General features: G+C 59.0%; 2 protein-coding genes across 8 annotated transcripts in view, besides 4 other annotated features; both read right to left on the bottom strand.

The window, feature by feature from the left end:
• DOK7 (docking protein 7) overlaps positions 1–3,784 on the bottom strand; it is a 38,177-nt gene extending 34,393 nt beyond the window's left edge. For all 5 annotated transcript variants that reach the window (NM_001301071.2, NM_001363811.2, XM_011513435.3 and 2 more), the window contains exons 1-2: positions 3,661–3,784; positions 3,539–3,584 (exon numbers count right to left, since the gene is read on the bottom strand). In NM_001301071.2, coding sequence (NP_001288000.1) covers positions 3,539–3,584; positions 3,661–3,714 — 100 coding nt within the window. In that variant the 5' untranslated portion in view covers positions 3,715–3,784. The remainder of the gene's footprint in view (positions 1–3,538; positions 3,585–3,660) is intronic.
• Positions 632–1,241: an enhancer, noted in NCBI's record as "H3K4me1 hESC enhancer chr4:3467576-3468185 (GRCh37/hg19 assembly coordinates)". NCBI's record gives its function as "activates a minimal SCP1, AML or CMV promoter by ChIP-STARR-seq in primed H9 embryonic stem cells {active_cell/tissue: H9 hESC(primed)}" and the evidence as "EXISTENCE:reporter gene assay evidence [ECO:0000049][PMID:30033119]".
• Positions 4,159–5,006: an enhancer, noted in NCBI's record as "H3K27ac-H3K4me1 hESC enhancer chr4:3463811-3464658 (GRCh37/hg19 assembly coordinates)". NCBI's record gives its function as "activates a minimal SCP1, AML or CMV promoter by ChIP-STARR-seq in naive H9 embryonic stem cells {active_cell/tissue: H9 hESC(naive)}" and the evidence as "EXISTENCE:reporter gene assay evidence [ECO:0000049][PMID:30033119]".
• Positions 17,232–18,035: an enhancer, noted in NCBI's record as "H3K4me1 hESC enhancer chr4:3450782-3451585 (GRCh37/hg19 assembly coordinates)". NCBI's record gives its function as "activates a minimal SCP1, AML or CMV promoter by ChIP-STARR-seq in naive H9 embryonic stem cells {active_cell/tissue: H9 hESC(naive)}" and the evidence as "EXISTENCE:reporter gene assay evidence [ECO:0000049][PMID:30033119]".
• Positions 17,604–26,085, bottom strand: HGFAC (HGF activator). Of its 3 annotated transcripts, NM_001297439.2 has the most exons (15): positions 24,972–25,122; positions 24,178–24,358; positions 23,944–24,040; positions 23,670–23,749; positions 22,929–23,051; positions 22,648–22,779; positions 22,357–22,467; positions 22,097–22,271; positions 21,740–21,825; positions 21,194–21,214; positions 20,796–21,048; positions 19,459–19,598; positions 19,055–19,195; positions 18,814–18,962; positions 17,604–17,853 (listed from the first exon to the last, which is right to left on the bottom strand). In NM_001297439.2, the coding sequence occupies exons 1-15, from the start codon at positions 25,086–25,088 to the stop codon at positions 17,671–17,673; spliced, it is 1,989 nt and encodes a 662-aa protein (NP_001284368.1). In that variant the 5' UTR covers positions 25,089–25,122; the 3' UTR covers positions 17,604–17,670. The 3 variants fall into 3 exon arrangements, with proteins under 3 accessions (NP_001284368.1, XP_047306111.1, NP_001519.1); XM_047450155.1 differs by lacking the exons at positions 21,194–21,214; positions 24,972–25,122 and adding an exon at positions 25,271–26,085; NM_001528.4 differs by lacking the exon at positions 21,194–21,214.
• Positions 23,543–23,592: a silencer, noted in NCBI's record as "silent region_15205". NCBI's record gives its function as "represses an Ori minimal core promoter by ATAC-STARR-seq in GM12878 lymphoblastoid cells {active_cell/tissue: GM12878}" and the evidence as "EXISTENCE:reporter gene assay evidence [ECO:0000049][PMID:35858748]".

Below are 26,671 nucleotides of genomic sequence, written 5' to 3'. Positions count from 1 at the left end.
GGTGGTAGCCGCCTGAGGGGACCCTGCTGGGGTGCAGCAGCCTGGAGCCGCCCCCAGAAGCTGGGCAGGAGCAAGGGGGGCGGCCATCGACCAGGCCGGCCTGCTGATGCCTCCTCGGGCCAGGCCACAGCCAGGACACACGAGACCAAGATCCAGTGCCTAGCCCCGGACCCATTCACAATCTGGTTCGGGAAGGAAACGCGTGAGGGTGCCCCTGCCCGGCACAGGTGTTGGAGGTGTGGTGCAGGTGGGCCCCCCAGACCACAGACATCACCAAGGGCAGCCCAGGACGAGGCTCCAGATGCCAGGGCCAGGCCCTCGCGCCCACCTCTCCATTGCCCTCAAGAGCCCTGTGAGTAGACGAGGACGCAGGCGGGGAATGAGCCGTCCCAGGTCACTGCTCCCACATGTGGAGCTGAGAGCTGAACCCCAGCTCTCTGATTCCCTGTCCTGACGCGGGGGCTGAGGGAAGGTCGCCCTGTTCTTGATGTTTCTATGGGGAGAGGATAACTGGCCACCACCCACGCCCGGTCTTCAGCCCGGAGCTGGGATGTCAGCCCCAGTCCGTTGGGGCAGGAGCCAGACGCACAGGAAATCCACCACCAGGAGGCTCTGCTCAGGAAGGGCCGACCCAGTGTCCACCCCCAGCCCCTCGTTAGCGGAGGCGCTGTGGAGGGCAGGGCCCCAGGACAGCACTAGCCGTGGGGCAGCTCCGGGGCTCACGGGGCACCTGCCAGGGGGCTCCCGGCTCCTGCGCCGTCTCCGTGGGGTCCCTCCTGCAGGCCGGGCTCAGTCCCACCGAGAGCAAGGATAGGGGAGACTAAGCAAGGGCCCAGCCATCAGCCCGGGGGCAGGCGCGGAACTTCCAGCCAGCTGTGGGGGGCAAGGTTTGGGCTGGCTGGGGGGAACTGGGCTCTGCCCAGCAGTCCATGTCTTGGGCCAGATCCCTCGGGTTTCTGAGTTTCAGCTTCCCCCCACCATGGTGACTCCAAGACCCTGCCAGCTCCAGGACTCGGGCCCTCCCGGTGGCTTTTCTGAGCTGGATGAAGCCCCCAGGGGCAGCCCCTGTGGGAAGCAGGCCCCCTCAAGTGTCTGGCCTGGGGCCACACTCTCCACAGGATGTCAAGAACACTTTCCTCACCACCCCCAGCCCCCGCACCTGGGAGGAAGAAGAGAGGGGCTGGGCCAGGCGCCGCTGGCATGCAGGGCCACCAGCAGTGAGTCCTGGGCCACAACTGGACACAGACCACCCTCCTCCCCCGGGGCCCTGCCCAGAGAGGGGACGCAGACACGCATTCCGCAGTGAGGACGCGGTGGAGACATTGAGGAACGTGGTCCCACTGCAGGGCACCCTGCAGTCCCACACCGAGGCAGACGGCCCGACGTCCACTGGCCATGCCAGGCGCTGTGGCTGAGCAGCCCTTTGATAAAAGGGTTTCCCTTTCATTCGCTAAACCTTGTCATAACAGAAAGACGTGCTCACGATTGAGAAAAACGCAAGGAGGAGAAAGGTGCCAGTGGAAAAGGTGCACATCGGGGCCCTTCCCAGAAGGAAATCACCACTGGTAACAAAAAGAACCCTGCCTGTCTTACAAGGAAGCAGACGGGACCCTTCCTCTCTCCCTCACACCAGGAGCGCAGGGTCTGTGCTGTCTGCTCCTCCAGGGCTGGGGCCTGCTCCCTCCACGCCGGGCCCATCCACAAGGGAGGTGGTCTCCAGCGCTGAGCGGGAAGGCAGCTGGGTGAAGGCAAAGGGGGCAGCATCTAGGGAGGCTTATGAGGGGCCAGGGGAAGAGGCATCAGGGCCTCTGAGCGGAGAGGAGGTGCCAGGCTGGCCTGGTCAGGGTGGGGAGGTGGGCGTGAGAACTCCGCTCTGTCCCATCCCCTCATCTGACCGACCTCTGGGCAACCCCACAGGGTGTCAGTTTCAACCCTGGGCTGCTGGAGTGACCAACACAGAAAGCAGGTGTCCAAAGCAATGGGTCCCAGGCCAGTGAGTCAGTGGGTGCTAGGGACACCTGGCCTCAAGGCTTGGAATGAACATCCACCCAGAGGGGGCATGGCACCTTCTACTACCCCACATCACCTCCCACGCCAGCCCCAGAAGGCTGCAGATCTCAACTGCGCAGGATACGGGATAACCCAGCAGACGCTCGGGAGCCACCATGTTCACCTACAGACTCACAGATTGTCCCACCTGGGGGACCCATTGCAAACTCCTGTCACTCCACTCAGGCACTCACCGGCCGGGGGAGCACACCCTCTTGAGGCTGGCAGGCCCTGCCTCCTGGGACTGTCTGATGCAGAAAGAAAATCCCTCCAACAGGGACAAAGACTTCTCCCCCGACACTCCTCTTTGGGGGCTGCTGTCCCGGGTGCCTTCCTGGGATGCGGCCTCTCTGGAGGGTCTGCACCGGCTCCAGCCCAGCACCATCCACCAAGCATCACCTGCCCCACCACGGCCCCGACCCAGCCACAGCTGACTAAAGCCTGTCATCCGCCCCAGCCTGGCAGGGCCTCTCACTCTGCCCAGACCCCATCCCTTCCTATACCAGGTCCCCTGCAGCCCCGGAGGACAAAGACGCCCTCCCAGGCTCTGTCGGTGCCCCCACAGCTCCAGGCAGGAGGTCTGGGCACGGAGGGCTGAGTGGAGAAGTGACCAGCGTGCAGTCCAGGCCCTGCAAGGGGAGGCGGAGGCAGGCAGGAAGTGCTTTCCTCCAGGACCACCTGAGGCCCTGCAGAGGGGACGCAGGAGGGATCCCTGCCCCACACCCTCCCTGGGAGTCACAGACACCCGTCCTGGAGGGTGCTCTGGCAGCCCCCTGGCGTACAGCCCCCCATGCACACAGGCCGAGCATCCCACCCAGACCCGGGCCTGGCCGGCTCTGCCGCACCTGTCCTCTGGAGCAGCTGCAGGCCCGGCTCAGCCCTCCCTACAGGCCCAGCGCTGCAGGCGGCCTGGGCTGCCAGACCTGGGGGCTCCATGCTGACCCTCCCCAAGCTGGGGTGCTGGCTCAGGGCGGGGACTGGGGGGGGACCCCTGCCTCCTCCCAGAGGACTGTTCCCCCAGCAATGTGGCAGTCACTCTGCCCTGCCCTACCGCAGCCCAGCCTCTCGTCTGCCTGGGAGGGGTCCAGGGTCAGCGCTAACCCACGCAGCACCCCTGGAGGCTGGGTTCGGGGGCCCTGCTCTGAGCGTTTCCACAAGCACAGCTCAACCCTCAGGTATGTGGGGCTTTGCTTCTGGGGGGCCCCTTGCTGCTCTGCTGGGGGGCTCAGGGCCTGCGTCCCCTCCGCCTACAGGGCCACCAGGCAGCCCCTCGGGCCTCAGTCTGCCCTGCTGGAAAGAGGGTTCTTCCGTCCAGGGCCCCCACCTGCGCTCCCAGGGGCGCCGGGGGGTCCGGGTCCGCACGGGGCTCTCGGGTTTCCCGGCGGGGTGACAGCGGCGGCGATTTTGGGCAAGCTGGCATTACTGCCCCGGGCCTCGGTAACCCGTGTCGCTACCCCCGCGCCCCCCGTCCCCCGCCCGCCCCGCTCACCTGCCACGGGCGACGGCTTCCGCAGCACCAGCCACCTACTCTTCCACTGCGGGGACAGGGGGGAGCGTGAGCCGCCGCCCGCGCCCGCGCCCCCCCCCCCCGCGCCCCCGACGCGCCCCGACCTTCTTGCCGTCCCGCAGCTTGACCTGGCCCTCCACCAGCGCCGCCTCGGTCATCTTCTGTCATGGTTCCGCGCCGCCGCGCTCGCCCCGGCGCCCCAGCCCAGGGTCACTTTCAAAATAGCTCGCAGGGCCCTGGGCTGGGCCAGGAGGGCGGGCCCGCGGGCAGGGCGGCGACACCGGCGACTCCAGGGCCGGCGCGGGCGGGGCTCCTTCTCCTGCGGGCGGCTCCCCCACCCCCACGGGCCCCTCTGGCCCCACCGTCCCGCGGCGGCCACTGGAGCCGCCCGCCCTCTGGAGCAAGCGCACCATCTGGGCTCAGACGCTCAGACCAGCGCCTGGCGGGGCGGGGGTCGGGCGGGGACTTCTTTTTCAAAAAGCAGAGACAACCACCTAGCAGACATCGGCCCCGCTCTGGGCACTGCTCCCAACTTTAAAGTTGGTCTTCAAACAATCCGGCTTCCCAGACTGGCATCTGCCCCTACCCCAGGGGTCACTAGACACCCGGACAACAGACTGGCCACAGGCAGCCCAGGCCTAGGATGCTCTCACATCCCCAGGCTTCCCCCACACTGAGGTGACCCCTCCCCAGGCAGGCAGTAGGGGTCGGGGAGCCCCTGGCAGCCTCTGTCTCTTCCTCCATTTCTGTTCCCATTAAAAGCCTGCAGGGACCCCAGTGCAGGTGGGCGGGTCCAGGACCCACAGTGCCGCCTCAGGGCCCCAGGTCTCCACCTCTTCTGCCCCCATCCCAGGCAAGAGCAGGCCCTGGTTAGGCCAGCCGGCTCCGATGGGCAGAGGAGCTGCCTGCTTTGTAAAGGACCTGCCAGCAGCCCTCCCAGCTGGGTGGACTTTGCGCTTCTGGACTCCCCCTCCTTGACCCTGTGGCTCCAGTCCAGCTGTCCCCAAGCTCTGGCCTGGGCATTAGATGTCACATCCAGGTTCTTCTGCAGAGAGGCCATGTGCTTTGGGGGACCTGGCAGGTCCGTGCCTTGGGTGTCAGCCCCATCCGAGAGACGGCCTCCACCACCCTGGGGTTGGGGACACCCAGCAGATACGGGAACAGCAGTGGGGAGGGGCGATGGCACCCTAGAAGATAAGCACCTGGACAAACAGCAAAGCTCCGTCCACATGCCCTACCCTAGACCCCATCCTCACGGGGCTGACGGTTCTCGGGGGAGAAGAAGGAAGGGGTAGACAGTGTCCCGTTAGGGAGGAGACGTCTTCATTTCATCCCATCCAGACCCTAGGCTGGGCTCTGTCTGCCTCGCACTGAGGAGCAAATGGAATCAGGGCAGCGTGAGGCCTCACAGCCAGGACTGAGCCACATCGGCTGACCTCAGAGCAGGGCTCAGAGGCATCGGGAGCCCTGGGCGCCCCTCCCCACTGCCCCTGTGATCCAAGAGACAGGTCTCCGGTGGGCCACAAGGGTTGGCTTTGGTGCTTCGGTGATGTCTTGTCAGGGCCTCATGCAAGGCGGGGGACACCAGGCCCAGGAAGCAGAATTTTGCATCCCCCACCCACCCCCGCAGTCACCTGTGCAGCCACCAGCCGCCTTCCGCAGAACAGTTGCTGGGTCACAGAGCCCCATTCATGCTCCCCACACATCCCAGGCCCCCAAGGGGCTGGCCCAGGACAGCCGGTGCGGAGGCGGGGGCCGTTGGGGCTGTAGCCACAGACACATCCGCTGCCCTGGGCGCCTGGCACTTGCTTATCCCTACAGGGAGAGGCAGGGCCCTGCTGCATTCCTGAGTGCTGGCCCGGGCCCAGGCTCCTGCCATGCCTGGCAGCTGCACCTGCTCCCACACAGCCTGGAACACACAGGATGCCGGAGGGTAGACAACTCCCTTCCCTGCTCCATGCGGCTCCAGGGCTGCTGAAAGGTGGAGGAAGCTTCCTGCAGGAGGAGGAGGTGGCCTGGCTGCCACTCCCAGACTGGCCGAGAGCGCTGTGACCCTGGGCAAGCTCCTGCCCCGCTCCGTGCCTCAGAAGTTATAGCCAGAAGTTTCCCCAGAAGTTATAGCCAGGGTTGCTGGTTGCAAATGGAGAAATAGGCTGGCCACTGAGTAGGAAGGGGTTGATTGGAAGCAAATCAGGTCTCCAAGAACCAAGGGGAAGGCTGGAGAGCTGGTAGGCAGTGAAAACAGAGCCACATCCTGAAAGAGGAGGACACCACAGCTCAGCCCCACAGCACAGCTGGGCTCCACACGAGGGGCAGGGTCACCACCTTCAAAGGAGCCCACAGTCTCAGGTCACAGCAGCACCCCTGTCTGACCACAGAGCCCTGCTGCGGCTGCCATGCTGCTGCTGGACACTGTGGCCAGGGACACTGCCATCTCTGCCAGACCCCATGGTCGTGGCACATTGCCACCCGCCAGTGGCTCTGTGGCCAAGGGACCTGTCCCTGACTAGCCACACCACCTTCAGCCACCATGTGATCTTACTGGTCTCAGCTTCCTCTTCTACCTTGATACTGTGATGAGCCCCAATGAGATGGCGTCCATGAGCATCTTTCAAAATGATCCAGGGTTTTCCAAGGTGATTCCAAGGGGATGATGGGGACCAGGGGTGGGCTGCTTTGTCTTGCATCTCCAAGTGGCCTGGTGTGTGGGAGAGAAACACGTCAGCTGAGTGTGGCAAGCACTGTACCCTGTGGTCACACCCGTTTGTGCATCCACATTTCCCAGTACCACCACCCCGCCCCCATCAGGTAAGGCTGTATGAGTGAGTTCTGGCCAGTAAGGCATGGGTGGAAGGGGTAACCAACACTTCTGGCCTGCCCATAGGATGCCTGATACAGTTCGACTGTGTCCCCACCCAAATCTCATCTTGAATTGTATTAATAATATTAGCTCCCGTAATCCTCATGTGTTGTGGGAGGGACCAAGTGGGAGGAAATTTAATCATGGGGGTGGGGTTTTCCTGTGCTGTTCTCATGAGAGTGAATAAGTCTCATGAGATCTCATGGTTTTATGAAGGGCAGTTCCCTGCACATGCTCTTTGCCTGCCGCCATGTAAGAGGTGCCTTTGCTCCTCCTTCACCTTCACCATTTCCCTTTGCCTTCAGCAAGCACCTCAGCAGTTCATGTTTTTTTTTTTCCTGGTGGAGTGACCCAAACCTTCATTCCTGAAGTGTCTGGGGGATTTGTAGTCCTGCCTGGATTGGGCTGTTGTAGTTTCCCATTGACCTTAATCACAGGGCATGGTAATATTAATAGACGCCCTAATGGATCTTTTGTAATTCTATGCATACTCTTACTTACCTCCTTTGTGGAGCTGTAGACTGATTTCATCTCGAGAGTCTGGGTCAATCACTCCAGCCAACACTGTAACTCCTTCTTAGCCTGTTGACTTAAAGGTAGGAGGAGCCCAGAGTGTCCAGGTGGCAATCTTAACTTCTAGCTTAATGGAACAGTTGTGTCTCCTGGTGGCAGCGTTCCTCCCTCTGGAACTAAGACCTCTAGGCCAGCAGAACATAATGTCGTGGGAACAGGAAGCAAACATTTTGCTAGTGGATCACTAGGGGTGATGGCGAGTGGTGCCACTTCCACTTGAGTGCCTTGATTCCTGGACCCGTGCATCCTGGCTAAGGGAGAAACAATATCATATCTTGGATGCTGATTCAGAGCATACATGGCCTTCTGGAGAACTTGGTCCCAGCCCTGCAAAGTATTGTCACCTAGTTGGTGTTGTAATTGTGACTTCAGAAGGCCATTCCACCGTTCTACCAATCCAGCTGCTTCAGGATGATGGGGAACGTGGTAAGATCAGTGAATTCCATGAGCATGAGCCCACTGCCACACTTCTTTAGCTGTAAAGTGAGTGCCTTGCTCAGAGGCAATGCTGTGTGGAACACCCTGATGGTGGATGAGGCATTCCGTGAGTCCATGGATGGCAGTCTTGGCAGAAGCACTGCGTGCAAGATAGGCAAACCCACATCAGGAGTAAGTGTCTATTCCGGTGAGGACAAACCTCTGCCCTTTCCAGGATGGAAGAGGTCCAATATAATCAACCTGCCACCGGGGAGCTGGCTGATCACCCTGAGGAATGGTGCCATATTGAGGCTCAGTGTTAGTCTCTGCTGCTGCCAAATTGGGCACTCAGCAGTGGCTGTAGACAGGCCAGCCTTGGCTAGTGGAGGGCTACGTTGCTGAATCTCCATGTGTAATCTCCATCCCTGCCACCATGGCCACTTTGTTCATGGGCCCACTGGGCGATGACAGGGGTGGCTGGGGAAAGAAGCTGAGTGGTGTCCACAGAACAGGTCATCCTACCCACTTGATTATTAAAATCCTCCTCTGCTGAGTTCACCCATTGGTGAGCACTCACAGGGGACACAAATATCTTCCGTTTTTGACCACTCGGAGAGGTCCATCCACATACCTCTTCCCCAAATGTCTTTGTCACCAATTTTCCAATCATGCTTCTTCCAAGTCCCTGACCATCCAGCCAAACCATTGTCTACAGCCCATGAATCAGTACATAATCACACACCTGGCCATTTCTCCTCCCATGCAAAGTGCACAACCAGGTGCACCGCTCCAAGTTCTGCCCACTGGGAAGACTTCCCTTCACTGCTGTCCTTCAGGCATGTCCTAAAAAGGGGCTGTAGTGCCGCAGCTGACCACTTTCGGGTGGTGCCTGCATATCGTGCAGAAGCATCTGTGAGCCAGGTCCTAGTCTTCTCTTCCTCTGTCAAATGATTGTTGCAGGCCGAAAGAGTGAGGGTCACGATCAACTCAGTATACCACCAGAGGCTATACGAGTAAACAGCAAACTGTTCTCATAAAAGCAGGTTGTTGGTGAACTGACAAACCACATATGCTGCCCAGAAGGACTGCTGAGAGCAGTCACGACCCACGCACAAGTGTTTCTTGTGATTAGGTAACTATGAAGCCTGTTAGCAATAATGTGAACCTGAGATCAATTAAGGAGCTGACCAATCATTACCTCCTGCTCCCTGATCTTTCTACCCAACATGAAGGGCTATAGAAGCTCAGGGTGGCTGCCCTTGCTCACTAGAAACTGGGAGCCCTCTTCTTCCCCGTGCTCTTCCTTTAAAATAGTTTCTTGTTTTTTGTTTTCATTTCTACATTCATCCTCCTTCGTTCAGTCCCGTAGTAACCATGGCAAACCGCGGCAAATGATCACAGGGAACTCCCCATGAGGCCATTGGTGCAGGCTGGGGGAGAGGAGGCAGGGTGGCAGGAGTGGAGACCATGGGCATTTGAGCCACTTCCTCATGTAAAACTTACTTGTGCCTTCAGGATCTGCTTGAGCCCAGTCACATATATACCACTTCTCTTTGATGACGGAATGCTGCTGTGCATGACCCACTTTATGGCTAGACGGGTTGGAAAGCACCCGTTCATGACGGGCAGTTCAGGTTGCATGGTGACTTGATGACCCATAGTCAAATGTTCAGTTTCCACCAAAGCCCAGTAACAGGCCAAGAGCTGTCTTTCAAAAGGAGAGTAGTTATCTGCGGAAGATGGCAGGGCCTTGCCCCAAAATCTGAGAGGTCTGTGCTGTGATTCACCTATGGGGGCCTGCCAGAGACTCCAAACAGCATCCCTATGTGCCACTGACACCTCAAGCACCATTGGATCTCTTGGGTCATATGGCCCAAGTGGCAGAGCAGCTTGCACAGCAGCCTGGACCTGTTGCAGAGCCTTCTCCTGTTCTGGACCCCACCCAAAGCTGGCAGCCTTTCAGGTCACTCGGTAAATGTACCAGAGTAACACACCCAAATGAGGACTGTGTTACCTCCAAAATCCATATAGGCCCACTAAGCATTGTGCCTCTTTCTTGGTTGTAAGAGGGTCCAAATGCAGCAACTTATCCTTCACCTTAGGAATATCTCGACAGGCCCCAAACCACTGGACCCCTAGAAATGTTGTTGATGTAGAAGGTCCCTGAATTTTAGTCGGATTTATTTCCCATCCTCTGGCACACAAACGTCTCACCAATAAGTCCAGTGTGTTTGCTACTTCTTGCTCACTGAATCCAGTCACTGTAATGTCATCAATGTAATGAACCAGTGTGATATCTTGCAGAAGCGAAAAGCGATCAAGGTCTCTCCGAATAAGATTATGACACAAAGCCGGAGAGTTGATATACCCCTGAGGGAGGACAGTAAAGGTATATTGCTGCCTTTGCCAGCTGAAGGCAAATTGCTTCTGGTGGGCCTTATGGACAGGAATGGAGAAAAAGGCATTTGCCAAGACAATGGCTGCATACCAGGTACCAGGAGATGTGTTAATTTGCTCAAGCAATGAAACCACATCTGGTACAGCAGCTGCAACTGGAGTGACCACTTGCTTAAGCTTACGGTAATCCACTGTCATTCCCCAAGATCCATCTGTCTTCTGCACAGGCCAAATGGGAGAGTTGAGTGGGGATGTGGTGGGAATCACCACCCCTGCGTCTTTCAAGTCCTTGATGGTGGCACTAATCTCTGCAGACCCTCCAGGGATGTGATATTGTTTTTGATTTACTCTTTTTGTAGGTAGAGGCAGCTCTAATGGCTTCCATTTGGCCTTCCCCACCATAATAACCCTCACTCTACCTGTCAGGGAGCTAATGTGGGGGTTCTGCCTGCTGCTAAGTATGTCTATACCAATTACGCATTCTGGCACTGGGGAAATGACCACAGGATGAGCCCGGGGACCCACTGGACCCACTGAAAGTCAGACCTGAGCTAAAACTCCATTAATTACCTGACCTCCATAAGCGCCTACTTTAACTGGAGGACCACAATGACGTTTTGGGTCTCCTGGAATCAATGTCATCTTAGAGCCAGTGTCCAGTAGTCCCCAAAATGTCTGATCATTTCCCTTTCCCCAACATAGTTACCCTGGTATAAGGCTGGAGGTCTCCTTGGGGAAGGATGGGAGAAAGATTAACAGCATAGGCCGGGTGCGGTGGCTCACGCCTGTAATCCCAGCACTTTGGGAGGCCGAGGTGGGTGGATCATGAGGTCAGGAGATCGAGACCATCCAGACTAACAAGGTGAAACCCCATCTCTACTAAAAATAGAAAAAATTAGCTGGGTGTGGTGGCAGGCGCCTGTAATCCCAGCTACTTGGGAGGTTGAGGCAGGAGAATGGCGTGAACCCGGGAGGCGGAGCTTGCAGTGAGCCGAGATTGCACCACTGCACTCCAGCCTAGGTGACAGAGCAAGACTCTGTCTCAAAAAAAAAAAAAAAGAAAGAAAGAAAGATTAACAGCATAAATTGTCAGTAGTGTAGTGGAGTCCTTCCTCAAGGGGACCCAGCCTCCCCTTCATTCAAGGGGTTCTGGGTCTGTAAACTGTCTCAAGTCTGGAAATTGATTGAGGGGCTGTGATTCTCTGTTTTTATAATTCATATTAGTCTTTTGTCCATTCGCCCTAGAAGTTTTCTGCTTATATAAATTAAGCAGGATTGCAGTAGGCTTCCTGTCAATTTCACTTTTTAGGAACACTGTGATTAATTAGCCAATGCCAGAGCTCTACACAAGTCAGACTATTCTGATTGCCACTTTGCCTCTGCTGTCCATTATGGTAGCTGTGCCCACCTTGCCTTTGATGGTTGAGTGCCGCCACTTGGCCCCTGCCACCTCAGGATCCAGTTATTCCCATCATCCCATTAAATCATATTTAAATTTTGTAGTTGAGTGACTGTGGTTCCCACTGTTAGATCTGACATACAGAGAAGAGCAATTACAGGGCCCTTCAAAGACGCAGGTGCTGCCCTCAAAAATCTATTTCGCAAGGCATTGGTCAAGGGTATATCTTCTGGACCCTCCCAGCTGGGATGAGTAGGTCTAAAGTGACTAATCCACTCCACCACCTCAATCTCCCTAAGCCTTTGGATCCCTTCCTCTACATTAAGCCAAGGGAGATCAGGCATTTCCAACTTGCTCACAGTGGGCCATCTTTTAATCCATATTTCAGCCAACCAAGCAAATAAACTATTAGAACCTTTTTGAACTCCTGAGCTGTGACATTAAATGCAGAGTCCCTGCTTAGTGGGCCCAAATCAATAAATCCAGCCCGATCCAACTCTATGTTCCTTCCACCATTATCCCACACCCTTAATATCCATTCCCATGCCTGTTCTCCAGATTTCTGTTTATATCAATTAGAGAATTCAAATGCTTATTTTCAAGTGTAGCACACCTCCTTATGGGTCACACTCTCAACCTCACCTCTAGGCGCCCACTGGGACTTTAGTCTAGTTATAGGTTGAGAAACAAACAGGGGTGTTAGGGTTGGCTCCTCAGGAGAATCAACATTATCTTGTCTGGCAACTGCCTCATGGGAGGCCATCACTGTTGCCTCAGGCAGTGCAGGATTTATCTCCTCAGACAAAGGTGGAAAGGCTGATGGCAGCATGGGTTAGGGAGGGAATGTTGCCACTACTGGGGATGGGGAAGCTCTTCCTTCTGGTGAAAAATGTTCATCAGAGTTTACAAACTCAGTGTCCCCAGCTTCATCAGGGTCCTCCCACACATCCCCATTCCAAGTTGCAGGGTCCTATTCTTTTCCAATCAGTGCCCTCACTTTAACAGTAGACACCTGGCGAGGCTGTGCACGTACCTTTCATTGCAGGTCAGTCACTCGCATGGTAAGAGCTTGTGTCTGTTTTTCCACGATTTCAGCTCTTTCTCTAAAGGAGATAAGACTCTCAATGAGGGCAATCTTAGAAGATTTGAGGCTCAGTATCTGCTTCTGAAGCTGAGAGTTAGAATCCCTGAGTTCATCATTTTCTTTCATCACTTTGTCCACCGAACTTTAGGAGCAACCAACCAGCTTCATTAGCTCTTTGGTTCTCCACATGTGGTCAAAGGTATTATGTATAGAGTCACTAAACTCCCTGCCTCTCATGAGCAGTGAATCAAGAGTGTCAAATGCATTTAATTTGCATAGCTCTCTAAATAGTTCATGCCAAGGACTATCGGTGTTCTCCATGCCATTAGAAGTAGAGTCCTTAGAATTTTTGGGTCTAATCATATTAAGCAGGCAACTCCAGAAATCCCAAAACCAACAAAAGAAGTCCATCCTTAATATTCTATTCTTCTAGAACCACTCCTGGTACCAAAATCTGTATTAGGGCTCTCTAGAGGGACAGAACTAATAAGATAGATAGACATATATAAAGGGGAGTTTATGAAGTATTAACTCACGTGATTGCAAGGTCCCGCAATAGGCTATCTGCAAGCTGAGGAGCAAAGAAAGCCAGTCTGAGTCCAAAAACTGAAGAACTTGAAGTCCAATGTACAAGGGCAGAAAGCAGCCAGCACAGGAGAAAGATGTAGGCTGGGAGGCTAGGCCAGTCTAGTCTTTTCGTTTTTGTGTCTGCTTATATTCTAGCCACACTGGCAGCTGATTAGATGGTACCCACCCAGATAAAGGGTGGATATGCCTTCCCCAGCCAAATGACTCAAATGTTAATCTCTTCTGGCCACACTCTAACAGACATACCAAGGATCAATACTTTGTATGCTTCAATCCAATCAAGTTGACACTCAGTATTAAACATCACAGTGGAACTTCCCGAGAGTGGGTCTTCCTCTCCCCAGTCCACTGACTCAATTGTTAATCTCTTCTGGCAACACCCAGAAACACCCAGATACACTCAGAAACAATAATTTATATCCTTCGACCCAGTCAAGTTGACACTTCATATTAACCATCACAACCAGGAACAACTTTGTGTCAATGAATATAAAAAATTAGACAGATGAATTTTTTTTTTCTGTGAGACAGAGTCTTGCTTTGTCACCCAGCCTGGAATGCAGTGACAGGATCTCAGCCCACTGCAATCTCCACCTCCCAGGTTCAAGCAATTCTCTTGCCTCAGCCTCCTGAGTAGCTGGGATTACAGACACCTGCCACCACACCCAGCTAATTTTTGTATTTTTAGTAGAGATGGGGTTTCACCATGTTGGCCAGGCTGGTCTCAAACTCCTAACCTTGTGATCCACCCGCCTCGGCCTCCCAAAGTGCTGGCATTACAGGCATAAGCCACCACACCTGGGTGACAGATAAATTTATAAAAGCATAACTTCCTGTAACTGACTCAAGAAGAAATAAAACTAGTCCCATAACTATTAAAGACATTGAATCAGTAGTTAAATACAATCCTGTAAAGAAAACACCAAGACAGGTAATTTTATGGGTGAATTCCATTTAACTTTCAAAGGATAGATCCTTCCAACTATATACAGAATTTTCCAGTGAATTTTGATAAAAGAAGAACTTATTTTATGAGGCTGGGATAGCCTTGATAACAGTCATTCAGAGAATATAGGAAAGGAAAATTATAGGCCAATCTCATAAACATACATGCAAAATCCTAAATAAAATATAAATTTTAAAAAGTTTTTAAAAACCAATACAGCATGTATCAGTCAGGGTCCCAATAGGCGGGCACACACAGTGGAACAGTTCAAGGAGGGTTTTTATATACAAAGTTGTGGTCAAAATGTGGACAATCACAGTCAGAAACTCCAGAGCCCAGGGCTGGTTAAGGTGGAGGGGCCACACCAGTTCTAGAATGCTGGCAATGGCAGGAGTGGACCCCGGAGCCTCAGAAGGAGAAAGTCTTTTACATCTTGAGAGCAGCGCTGACCTTCAGTCCCAGGATGCAGCCAACCTGAGGGTATTTGTTTGCTACGGGGACCATAATAAACTGCCACAGATTGGGTGCCTTCGACAAGAGAAGCTTATCACCTTGCAGTTCTGGAAGCCAGAAGTCCAAAACCCAGGGGGCAGCAGGCTTGGCTCCCTTGGAGTCCAGCAGGGGGCACCTGCTCTAGGCCTCTGGCCCTGGTTTGTGGACGGCCATCTTCTCTCCAGGTGTCTCCCATCGCCCTCCTACTGTACATGTCTGCGTCCTGTAAAAAGAAGCCATTCAAAACCAAAGTTGTTGGAACTTTAAATTATTTTGCATCTTCAAGGAACATGATTATAGGACCTGAGTTGCGTATGACGGTCAGCTGTAGCTTAGGCAGCTGTAACCTTTGTTCCTCTGATTATAGATTAGCTTTTTCTTTACCTACATTGTTCTGTAAAATGTTATAAAAGACTACAGGACACCAGGGAAGACCCCTTCCCTCTTCATGTTGATCTTCACTGTAGATTTGCTCCCCTCTGACTTCTCTTACACAGAGACCTCACTGGCCACCACGTTGTCTAAGACAGAACGTTCAATAGGCTCTTTCAAATTGGAAAAGGAAAAGAAAACAAGCTGTGATTAATCAAATTGCTGTGACTCATAAACCAGCCTTGCATGGGAAGCACTGTAACCCTGTTCAATTTGTTTATTTTCTGCCTGTATAAGCAAGACCTTCACTTTTTGGCTTTGGGGTACTGGCTCTAATCCTCTGGAGTCTGTGTGTCCTGAGTGGCTATTTTCAGCTTCGTGCCTGCATATGCTCTTTTAAACTGGATTCTGATCCTTTTGATTATTTCAGGTGGATAGTCCAAATTTTCTCTTCTCATTAGGACACCAGTCATATTGAGTTAGTGCCCATCCTAATAACCTAATTTGAACTTGATTGCCTTTTTAAACATTCTATCTCCAAATACAGTCACATGCTGGGCTATTAGGGGTTAGGACTTCAACATATGAATTAATTAATTTATTAAAACAGGATCCTGCTCTGTACCCAGGCTGGAGTGCAGTGGCGTGATCATGGCTCACTGCAACCTCCACCTCCTGGTGGAGGTGATCCTTCCCCTTCAGCCTCCTGAGTAGCTGAGACTACAGGTGCATGCCACCATGCCCGGCTAATTTTTTTGTAGAGACTGGGTTTCATCCTGTTGCCCAGGCTGGTCTTGAATTCCCACCTGGGCCTCCCAAAGTGCTGGGATGACAGGTGTGAGCCACTGCGCCCAGTCATCATATGAATTCTAGAAGGACATAATTCCACCTGAAACACTGAGGTGACTGACCCCAAAGAAAGGGAGCCAGGAAAATACATGCCCAGTCTCTCTCCCCTGCCTCTGATCTCCCAATAGCCCAACAAGAAACAAGAGAGTGCACAGCCCATTGCAGACCAGAGAGGCCAGCCTCCCGCGGCAGAGCACGACGGGAACAAGCAGGGCACAAGTGGGAGGGGCAAAGGGAAGACCCCAGCTCACACTTCAGCTCAATACCGTCCACTCGAGGAATACAAGGCCAACCTGAGTTAGAAAACCTATCATGTGCCGGGCGCAGTGACTCACGCCTGTAATCCCAGCACTTTGGGTGGCCGAGTTGGGCGGATCATTTGAAGTCAGGAGTTCAAGACCAGCCTGGGCAACGTGGTGAAACCCCATCTCTACTAAAAATACAAAAATTAGCCGGGCGTGGTGGCAGGCACCTGTAATCCCAGCTACTCGGGAGGATGAGGCAGAAGAATCACTTGAGCCTGGGAGGCAGAGGTTGTGGTAAGCCAAGATCGCGCCACTGCACTCCAGGCTGGGTGGCAGAGTGAGACCCTGTCTCAGAAAGAAAGAAAAAAAATGAAGAAAAGAAAGAAAGAGAGAGAGAGAGAGAAAGAAGAAAGAAAGAAGAAGAAAAAAGAAAAAAGAGAGAAAAAGAGAGAGAGAAAGAAGAAGAAAGGAAGGAAGAAAAGGAAGGAAAGAAGGAAGAAGGGAGGGAGGAAGGAAGGAAGAAGGGAGGGAGGGAGGGAGGGAGGAAGGAAACCTATCATGGAAGTCATCATGTTAGTGAAGCCAAAGGGAAAATGTGTACATTTATCTCAACAGAGGCTGAGGAAGCATGTGAAAATGCTCACCGCTCATGGCGGAAGGGTCAGGGACGGCTCACATCGGATGTGGGTGAAGCGGGGCTGAAGCCATGAGGTTCAGAGCCCCAGAACCAGCTGCTGGAGGCCCCCACACTCAGGAGGAAGAGCGGCTCCACTCTCAGGATCCTGGGGCACAGGTGCCAGACTCAGTCCCCCAGCCACTGCCCAGGCTGCACCAACACTGTGGCAGGGGCAGGGGTCTTCAGTGGCAAGTTCGTTCCGTGAGCTCGAAGGCTCTGAGGCCCATGCACAGCAGCAGGGGCCGTGGGGAGAAGGGCCTGGCCATGTCTCTCTTCCCTCTTTGCTCAGAACCCGGCTTTGCTTGGGGCGGTAACTGTGTGGCCCCAATGCCCCATTTCCTGCCCTCCCAGCCTCCGTACAGCCTGGGGCGGCGCCAATCTGCTGGGGAAGGGGCTCCCGACGAAAGGGAACAGCTGTAACTGCAAACCACTGCCTCCCCGAGACCAGGACGCCAGGAAGGAGGTGGGGCGCAGGAGAGAAGGTCCTGGGTGCCTCGAAGCAGGGAGGAGGCCTGACCCCCACCAGCCACACTCCCGCCCTCTCTGCCCTCTGGCCCCACCTCCCCCTGTCTCCTGTCCTCCCTGGCTGGAGGGAGGGTACGGCCTCTGCCTGCCCAGCAGTGACCCTCTAACTGGGCCCCATCTAGCACATGGGCCCCTCCCTCCCTCAGCCCCCACAGAGGCAGCCTGTGGCCTCCTCCCTCCCGGGAAGTGCAGCCCAGGCTCAGGCAGGCGGGCTGCCATCTGGAAGACCAACGACGGCCTGCGGGTGTTCCCGTGGGGCCGCTCTTTCTTCTTCAGGTTCAATACTCCGTGCACCACGCGGATCGGACCCCTCCACGCCTGGGGGCCTGGACTTGGTTTCCACTTCCTGCCCTGGGACAACCCAGGTGCTGAGCCCCGGCCTGGGGCTGGCCTGGGAGGGGGCTGGACTCTGCTGGGGCCTGGAGAGGCCCAGACCTCATCCCCTGACAACTCTCTGGGCCGTGGGGCCAGACCCCGCTGTGGGGCCACAGGCTCCGTCTCCACTGAGGACTGTGTGCGCTCCAGAACGGCAGCCTGAGGCCTGCTGCGCATAGACCTGGGCCCCAGTCATGGCCTGGAGGGGAAGGCGGGGCCGCAGGCAGGGGCCAGGCAGCGTGGGCCGGGTTCTTGGAAATATCTTTATTGTCAGCAAGGCAGGGAATGGTGGGAACCAGGGTGTCCCGCTGGAGGGTCAGGAGGGAGCCACAAGCCGCCTGGGAGGCCGTATCCGGTCGTTGATCCAGTCCACATAGTTGGCCACGCGGGTGTAGACCCCCGGCTTGTGGAGCCGCCCGCAGCCGTCACCCCAGCTGATGATGCCGTAGAGGTAAGCCACGCCGTTCTTCTCGCAGGCCAGGGGCCCCCCTGAGTCCCCCTGGGCAGAGACGTTGGTCAGAGCCACCCTCCCAGGGGCCTGGTTCAGGGACCCCCCTCTCCCCCAAGTGGCAGCTTGGGGACAGAGGACAAAGGCATTTCTGAGCAAGGGAGCTGATCCACTCTCCTGAACCTCATGAAAAGGTGTCTCATTCCCTGGGGGCAGCACTGGCTGGGCCAGGGCATCCAACCACGTTATTCCCCTTCCTGAAGCCACGGTCCCCCTCTCCCCACCAGCATGAACCCTGTGTGGACCACACAGCCACCCTGTGTCCCAGCACCTCCTGAAATGACTTCTTCACTCCCTGGAAAACTCCTACGCATCACTCAGGACCAGTGCAAACACTCCCTCCTCCAGGAAACCATCCTGACTTCCCTTATCGAGGTCCAGTGACAAGCCCTACCCACTCTACCACTCCTGGGCTTTGTGGCCTTGGAAGAGTGAATTGACTGCCTGGGGCTCAGTCTCCCCAGCTATAAAATGGGGCATAAGAGAGCCGTCGCATGCCAGGGTTGCCGTGCCGCCTGAGCACACAGGCCTGCAGAGCCCAGGACGTGGTTGGGCTGTTGGGCTTATTGAAGGTTGAAGAACTTATTGAAGGTTGAAGAGCTGGCTTGAGAGAACTCGGGGCAAAGGGGCCTTTGGTGCCTAGTGTCACACGGAAAGCACTGCCTTGGGCTGGACAGCCAGGAACTGTCCGGGCTCTGTGGGACCCCAGGCCCCTCTCAGAGCCTGGGTCTCCCCTTCTGTGTGAGGAGGATGCCCTTCCGGCAGGGCTCTGGGTGGCCCTGGGGTGCTGGCCACCGACAGTAAGTGTGCTCCCTGCCCAGGGGTCCCTGGCTGGCCCTGCCAGGTTGGGGTGCCGCCAGGCTCTGGGCTCCCCAGGGGCAAGCATCTCGGAGACTCAGGACCAGCTGAGCCCCCACCAGTCGGGTCCTGGTGGGGCGGGCACCAGCTCACCTGGCAGGCGTCGGACTTGCAGTCGAAGTAGCCGGCACAGAGCATGTTGGGGCTGATGTCGGCGCCGTAGACCTCAGGGCTGCTGCACTTGTGGTCGGCGACCAGGGGGACCAGGGCCTCCCGCAGGGAGCTGGAGTAGCCGCTCACGTCTGTGGGACACAATGCCCTCAGCGTGACACCCACACTGTGGCTGGCCACTGTCCACCCTGGCGGGGCGCTGGGCGCCCCCCTCCCAACTCACTCTCATCCAAGTGGCCCCAGCCCGCAATCTGGCACTTGTGTCCTGCGGGGAAGGTGCTGCCGGGCTCGGGCAGGCAGATGGGCTGCACGAACTGCGAGCGTGTGGCACAGCGGTCCCCTTTCTTCTTCAGCCGGATCAGGACTGATCAGAAGAGTGGCCAGGGTCAGCCTGTGGTGTGCGGGCTGAACGGGAGGCTGTCGGGGCCCGTGGTGGAGGGAGGGTAGCCAGTGGGGTCCACAGGGCAGCCTGGGAGATCCAGAAGGGAGCGGTGCCCTGTCCTCCCTGCCCTGCCCCCAGCTTCCCCCGCACCACATGTCTGCCCAGCTCCTGCCCCTGTCTGGGCCTGGCCTGGGGAGCACAGGGCCCACCTGCCCAGAGTGCAGCCACGACACGCCGGAGCTCACCGAGGTCGTGGTCGCTGGGGTTGAACACCGAGTACAGGGTGTACGGGATGTACTTCTCGATGCCGAAGGTCTGCGTCACGTCCGTCGTGCGGTTGAAGAAGTGCTGGCCCAGCACCACGGAGACGCTGTCCCTGGGGGGGCTGTGCAAGGGGGGCTGGAGGCTGCATGGACCAGCCCTCCCCCAGCCACCGGGCTCACCTCTCCCCACCCCCTGTCAGGCCCACGGAGGCCAATGGTGTGGGACCCTGGTCCCGGGGAGGGGTCTGAGCAGGTGCCTGGGTGTGGGCTGTTGATACTGGGGAGACAGGGACCACCAAGCAGGGGCTATTGCCAGTCACCCCCAGATCCAGGCATGGGAGCTGAAGTGCGGTGCCATCCCTCCTGACAACACTGGTCACAAGCCCTGGGGGGAGTCTCAGGCCAAGCCCAGGCAGGATCGGCTGCAAGGCCGACCCGAGTGGGTGGAGACCTGGCCTGCTCAGGCCCTGCCCCAGCTTCCATCCACATTGTGGGGTCCCCAGATGCAGCCCTCACTCCTGCTGGGCACAGAGCCTGGGCCCCTGAGCCTGGCTCCCATCTGCTGTGTGGAGGTCGCTCCACCCTGCCTCGGCCTCCTGCCCTGGGCTCCATGTGGGGAACCCCATTTCTCCACACTGAGGAAGGCTCTGGCCCCATTTGCAGGCCCAGGAGCCGCCGGCTGCAGGTTCTGCAGGGCCACGCAGGACCCCACCCTGGGAGCTGTGGTCCTCGAAAGGCCGCCAGACCCTCGGCTGGCCGGACCCCTGCCCCTAATCACTGGGGTGCCCATCGAAGGTGGAAGGGCGTCTGGCCCAGGCTGCTCCGTCTCAGGGTCTCCCCACTCGAGGCCCGCCTCCCAGAGTGTGGGCCTGGGTGGCTGTGCGCCCCCACTGAGGGGAGCCGGCTGAGTGGGCTGGGCCTCAGTTTCCCTGGCTGTGCTTGGGCTCCTAGGGCTCTGACGCATTGTCACTGCGCTCCCTGGCTCCCTACTGAGAGCCAGGACTCTGGGAGGGGCGGGGCCTGCGGGGAGGACAGGACCTGGCCCACTGCACTCTCCGCAGGCGCTGGGTCCTCTGTGGAAATGCCACTGACCCCTGGCCTCCCTCAATAGGGACAGGGTTTCTGGAGTGTCCATGCATGCCCAGCTCAGGACTGAGCCCCAAGACCCAGAGGGGTCAGAGAGGGTTACCGGGGACCCCGGGAAGGGGTCAGCAGAGGCACCGGGATGGGGTCCGCAAGCGGGTGGGGACAGGCGCATAGTGACGCTGGATGGTGTGTGGGGCCTCAGGGCAGGTGACTGGGGCCCAGAGGAGGTGCACCTGTGGGAGAAGCAGTGGGCGGCCGACACCACCCAGCAGGTGTGGACCAGGCTCCCGGCGCAGAAGCTGTCCCCGATGTAGATGGCGGCCAGCCAGGGGTGCGAGCCGGGCAGCGAGGAGGAGCCGCCGATGATACGTGGCCGCAGGAACGTCCTCTTCTTGTGCCTCCTGCCGCAGGCCTGGCGCCCCGGGGAGGCTGGCTCAGGCAGGGTCGCCAGGAGATCCGGTGACAGTTGGACTCTGGTGAGGGATTCTGGGAGCAAAGGTCACCGGGTCACACCCCTGGGGTTCACAGGGCCAGCCCCCTTCCACACACAGGCCCTACCCGGCAGGAGGCGCTGCAGAGGGCCATGGCCGGACCCCCTGTCCACGCTGCTCAGGCCCTGGCGCCCACTCACCTCTGCCCTCAGTTTCCAAATCTGTAGAATGGGGTTTGATGCCCGATCCCGAGGCTCTGTGAGGGCCAGAGGGGCTGGACACACGGAGGCCTTTGTGGCCCCCTCAGCAGCCCGGAACCCCACAGCCAGCCCCAGCACAGTCAGAGACCCCCACATGAGAGCCCCGGGCTGGCCCCGCCGGGGTCCTAGGGAGCCGGGGGGCCTCTCCCCAGGGCAGGAAGCAGGTGGCCTCTGGGGGGCCTGCACGCTGCCCTCCCTGCACCTCCCTGAAAGGCTTCTGCGGCCATCCTGGGCATGGTCCAGGCTGGGCAGGTGCCACCCCGAGGCCGTCGCCTGGTGACCAGCCCCCTGCAGCGGGCTGCTTCCCCACTGTGACCCCAGTACCGACCCACTGCGTGACCTTGGACCAGCCTGATCCCGTGAGCTCCAGTTTCCCCATTTGTCAGAGATGCAGTAGCCAGGTGTGCGGAGGGGCTAGGAGGATCACGGGGAAAACTGCTGTGACCTCGGTGGGGCCCAAGGCAGCACCCCCCGCCAGCCGCGCACCGCAGGCCTCCAGGCGGCAGTACTCCCAGGAGAGCGCGCTGTCCTTCACCACGTAGCACCAGGGCCTCTCGTCATTGTCCGGATTCCTGCGGTGCATAAGTGGGGGCTGGCAGGGAGTCACACTGCCCCTCGAAGAGGGCATGGGGAGGGGGCATCGGAACCCCCAGCAGGGCGGTTCCCCGCACCTGGAGCAGTGGGAAGAGAGTGGCCCTCCCTCGGGCAGCCTCCCAGGCAGAGGTTCCGGGGCCTGTCTGGACGGAGCTGGCCCCGCCTGGGTCCTAGGGAGCCGGGGGGCCTCTCCCCAGGACAAATCCTGCCTGCCCCGCATGCGGCGGCCTGGAGCGGCGTGGTGCTGACCGGCAGTAGGCATGGGGGCCCAGGCCCAGCAGGGCCGCGGCGCCCACGGAGTCCACGTGCAGCTCCTGGTAGAGCAGATCGGAGTTCCAGGCCAGGCAGCTGAGGCCCGAGGCTGAGGTGCTGGCCACGCCACGGTACCCAGTGCCGTTCCCCAAGAAGCAGCGCTCATCAGGCTCTGCGGGCAGAGGGGCAGTGAGGCCGGCCCACGGTGGGTCCACCCGGCACTGCCCCAGGGCACCCCGGGGGGCTGACCCACTCACCGATGTTGCAGAGCCGTCCAGCGAAGCCTGGTGGGCAGGCACACACGGTGGTCCCGGTGGCCACGATCAGGTGGCAGGTGCCCCCGTTCAGGCAAGGGCTGCTCAGACAAGCTGGGGGCAGGGCCGAGGAGCTGGGCCAGGGGCCGCGCAGTGCCCCACGACAGCGGAGTCGGGGCCGGGGTCCACCCCTTGTCCCTTGTTTCTGGGTGACCTCAGGCCATTCCTCCCACTCGGGTGTGGACAGGGACACCCGTCAGGGGTCAGTGGCACGGCTCACACCCCGTGGCGCACCTGTATGTCGGGTGCCTTCGCACCAGGTCCGGCCCCCGAAGCACTCGCACTGTTCCACGTGGCCCTGGCGCACGCGGGCCCAGCGGTCGCCCCCCTCCAGGTACTCGTAGCGGGTCTCATCAAAGCATTTCTCTGAGGGGTGCACAGTAAGCCCTCACACCCTGCCACCTGCTGTCCCCGTGCAGGGCCCCTGCCCTGCACTCGGGAGCCACCTGTTCTCCCATCCTCCGGGGACTTGCTCCGGCCCCTGGACCCCTGCGGACCTCCGAGGCCCAGCTCACCTGTGCCGCAGTCCTTGCCGGTGAAGGCCCGGGGGCAGCTGCAGTGATAGGACTGGGGGTCCTGGGTATTGGAGCAGGAGCCTCCATTGAGGCAGGGGCCGGAGGCACAGGGATCCAGGGCAGCTGGGGACATGCGGGAGGGGGTGTGAGGGGCGGACTGGGAGGCTCAGGGTCCCTCTGTGACATTCTCTGCTTGCTAAGGCGTCCATCAGGCCCCAGTGAGGGGCTCTGAGAGCAAAGGGGCCCTCTCTACGCCCCTCGGGGTGCAAGGTCCCTGGGAGGGGCACAGACCTCCCCTTCCTCCCAGCGTCCCCCACTCAACACCTGGGCCACTGGCCCAGCTGTGCACGTGGCTTCCTGGAAGCCTGACACCCACACTGTCAGGCAGCAGACCCCTCCCATGTGTCCCAGGACCCATGTGAGCAGGGCGGCTGGCACCGCACCCCACAGACCCTGCCCACCTGTCCCCTGCCTGGGGCACGCCTGTGTGGCTGCAGGGCCCGGCCTCACCACCAGGCGGCGCCTTGGCCCCAGCGATGGCCGCGCAGCCACCATGAGACGCAGGTCCCACCTGGGAGAGGCTCTGGCCCTAAGTGGCACCCACCGGGGTTAATCCCAGAGCTCCTCTTCTGCTCCCCTCCAGCCAGGACCCCTGCCCGGGTCCGCCCCATCCTCCCCTTGGCCCTTCTGGCCTGGCCCAGTGCCCCCTGCCCGCCCCAGGCTACCCAACCCAGCACCCACCTGGGCCCCCTGGAGGCGGGGTGGCCTCCACACAGTAGCCCCAGGCCCTGTCCCGGTCGTAGTTGTGAGTTGTGGCACACCTGGGGGGCGACACCTGCGTGCATGGGGGTCCCAGGCAGAGGCCCCCCACCCCACCCCACCACCCTGGAGGGTCTCTGGGTTCACTGGGTCCGCCTGCTGCGTGGTGAGCGCCTACTGTGTGCCCGGCTCCCAGAAAAGCAGGCAGCGTGGGGCAGGTGACCCCAGCTCGGGTGCCCCGGCTGCCCGGACCCACCACTTCCTGTGTGCACTGCCCTCCGAAGTGCAGGCATGCAGCATGCGGCCCCCGTAGCGGAAGGGGAACCTGCAGGGCCTCCCGTCCTCGGTGAGTGCTGTGGGGAGGGGGTGGCAGGGTCAGGGCTCCCTCGAGGGGCACCCGAGCCCCTCAGGACCTCCAGCCGCAGCCATGCTCCTCCCACCCAGCCCTAAGGTGAAGCACGACACCTCCTCCCAGGCCCACCTGACCCACCTTGGGCCTGGGGGCTACTGCTCGAGGGAACTGCCCTGGGCGGGGGCGGGAGCCCCCCACTTTGGGGTCCCTCTGCCTCTGGAGCACTTGTTGCTGGGGTCTCAGAGGTCACAGAGGTCACCAGGATAGTGGGGATCGCAGGGGTCGCTGTGGCATTAGGTTCTGGGGACTCCGTACGGTTCTAGGAGGAGCAGAAAGGGTGTCAGTGTGGGACAGACCCTCACACTCAGGTCCTGCCGGGCAGGAGGTCACAGCCCTGAGCCTGTTTCCATACTGGGGCCCCCAGATCTCGGAGCAGGTTCCAGGAGGACACACGACATTCCTGAGGCCTCAGCCAGGCCCTGACACCTTCCCCGCCCTCGGCCCCTAGTTAACACCTGCTCAGGGTCACTGCCCAGGCCCAGGCACTGCTACCCACCAAGCTTAAACCCTGACGTCAGTTTTTGGTGATGGGAGCAGCTAGGAGGCCCTGGGAGGTTCCCCCAACCTCACGCATCCAGACCCAACAGAGGTCCAGAGAGAGGGGGCAGCCCCCAGACCCATAGGGGCCCAGGCCAGGCCGCACAGGGATGACAGCCCCCAGGTGGGGCTCCGTGAGCCCAGGCCCCAGCCTCCAAGGCCAGTCCAGCACCCACCTGCCCTGTGAGGGCCAGCTTTCAACGTAAGCCCCCTGCTCGGACCCCCGCCCCCTCAAATCCCCACGCTCTGTGGCGACCCTCCCTCTGGCCTCCTCCCAAGGACCCCAAGTAGCCACTGGGAACCTCTGGTCGCACTGCGACAAGGTCAGTGCTCACCCCGCCAGGCTGGGGCTGGAACCCCCGTGGCAGCAGCAGCAGCAGCAGGAGGAGGAGGAGGAAGGGGCCCAGCCCCGGTGGGGGCCAGGGGCTGGGGACCCAGGCCCAGCGCCCCATGGCTCCTGAGCTGGCCTGAGGGGCAGTGGGAGGCGGGAGCAGAGCGGCCAAGGCAGGTGGGGTCAAGGCTTCGTGGAAATGATTAACCCTGGCTGCCTCCCACGTCAGGCGGGCCCAGCCGGAGAGGAAGTCCCCGAGTCCCCTGGCCCCCACACCTGCTGCCCACCTCACTTTGACCCTACCTGGAAGCCCAGCTGTCTCTCTGGCCTCGGCCTGCACTGGTCCTAGTCCTAGACCTGACATGGTCCTTGGGCCTCAGCTTAGAAGCCTCCTCCAGGAAGTCTTCCAGGATAATGCAGATAGGTTGGGGCCTAGATGGTCTGGCGCCGCTCCCAGTCCCTGCAGGCCACAGAGCTGGCCACCATCTGCCTGTGAATTGTCCATGATGAGAGCCACTACGGGCGCTGGGCCTTGGAGGTGTCCAGCTCTGTGCCCAGCACAGCACAGACAGTAGCAGTGGGGATGGGATTGTCCCTGTCCCACAGACGGCAGCACTGGGGGCTCCTGGAGGGTTCGGTGCTGCATCCTCTCGGTGGCCCCAGGGCTGGCCAAAAGGCCAGGCACAGGGAGGAGAGGGGCCACGCAATGGCTGAGTGTAGCATAGGATGACCTGAGATCCTGCCCCACCTGCCTGTTCTGACTCTGGGGGTGGCCAGGGCCCCCCAGCAGCCCCTGGTGATGTTCAGAGTGTCCCTTCCTCCCCGTCTCCCAGACAGACCCAGGAGTCCACTCCAAGAAGCCTTTCCAACCCCAGCTCCCCACCGCCGCCTGGATGGTACAGGCCAAGTCTGCGGCAGCACAACCCTGGGCCAGGTACCCTGGGGCCTGGGATGGAGCTGGAGTCACGGAATTCGTGACTTGGGGCTGTGGGCAGAGCTGCCTGAGGAACCTCTTCTGCAATATTGGAGCAGCCGCTACGGCACCTCGGGTTCCTCCTGAGTCAGCAGCGACATCCCAGGGCTGCCGAGGTGGGAGGAGGGGTGAGTGAACCACTGTGGCCTGGAGACCAGCGAGGGCTGAAGCTGCCTCCCTGTATCCCCTAAAACCCCTCTCTCTGCCCCCCATTTGCCTGTCTGTGCAGAGGGAGAGAGAATGGACACCCACTGACCACCCAGCTTGACACCGTGGGCCCCAGGGGGCACAGTGCACATGGAGGCGTGGTGGGCCCTGGGGGCACGGTGAATGGGGGGTTGGGGGTTGGGGGGGAGGTCATGGTGGGCCCTGGGGCACGGTGAATGGGGGGTTGGGGGTTGGGGGGGAGGTCATGGTGGGCCCTGGGGGCACGGTGAATGTGGAGGCATGGTGGGTGCTGGGGGCACGGTGAATGGGGGGTTGGGGGTTGGGGGGGAGGTCATGGTGGGCCCTGGGGGCACGGTGAATGTGGAGGCATGGTGGGTGCTGGGAGCAGGATGGATGCGGGCTTGTGGTGGGTGGTACACACAGCTGGCACTGGGCTTCATCTTCCATTCCGACCCCTCCCCCAGCCCCCTTCCTAGAGCACCACTAAGTGGGGTGCATCCACTCCCTGGAAGCTTCTAGAACAGCCCCAGGGGACTGGCTGTGCTCTCGGGCCTCTAGGATGG

This window comes from Homo sapiens, chromosome 4, assembly GCF_000001405.40.
Source record: "Homo sapiens chromosome 4, GRCh38.p14 Primary Assembly".
Taxonomy (NCBI): Eukaryota; Metazoa; Chordata; class Mammalia; order Primates; family Hominidae; genus Homo; species Homo sapiens.
The sequence above is the reverse complement of the archived record's forward strand: the minus strand, read 5'-3'. Positions and strand labels throughout refer to the sequence as shown.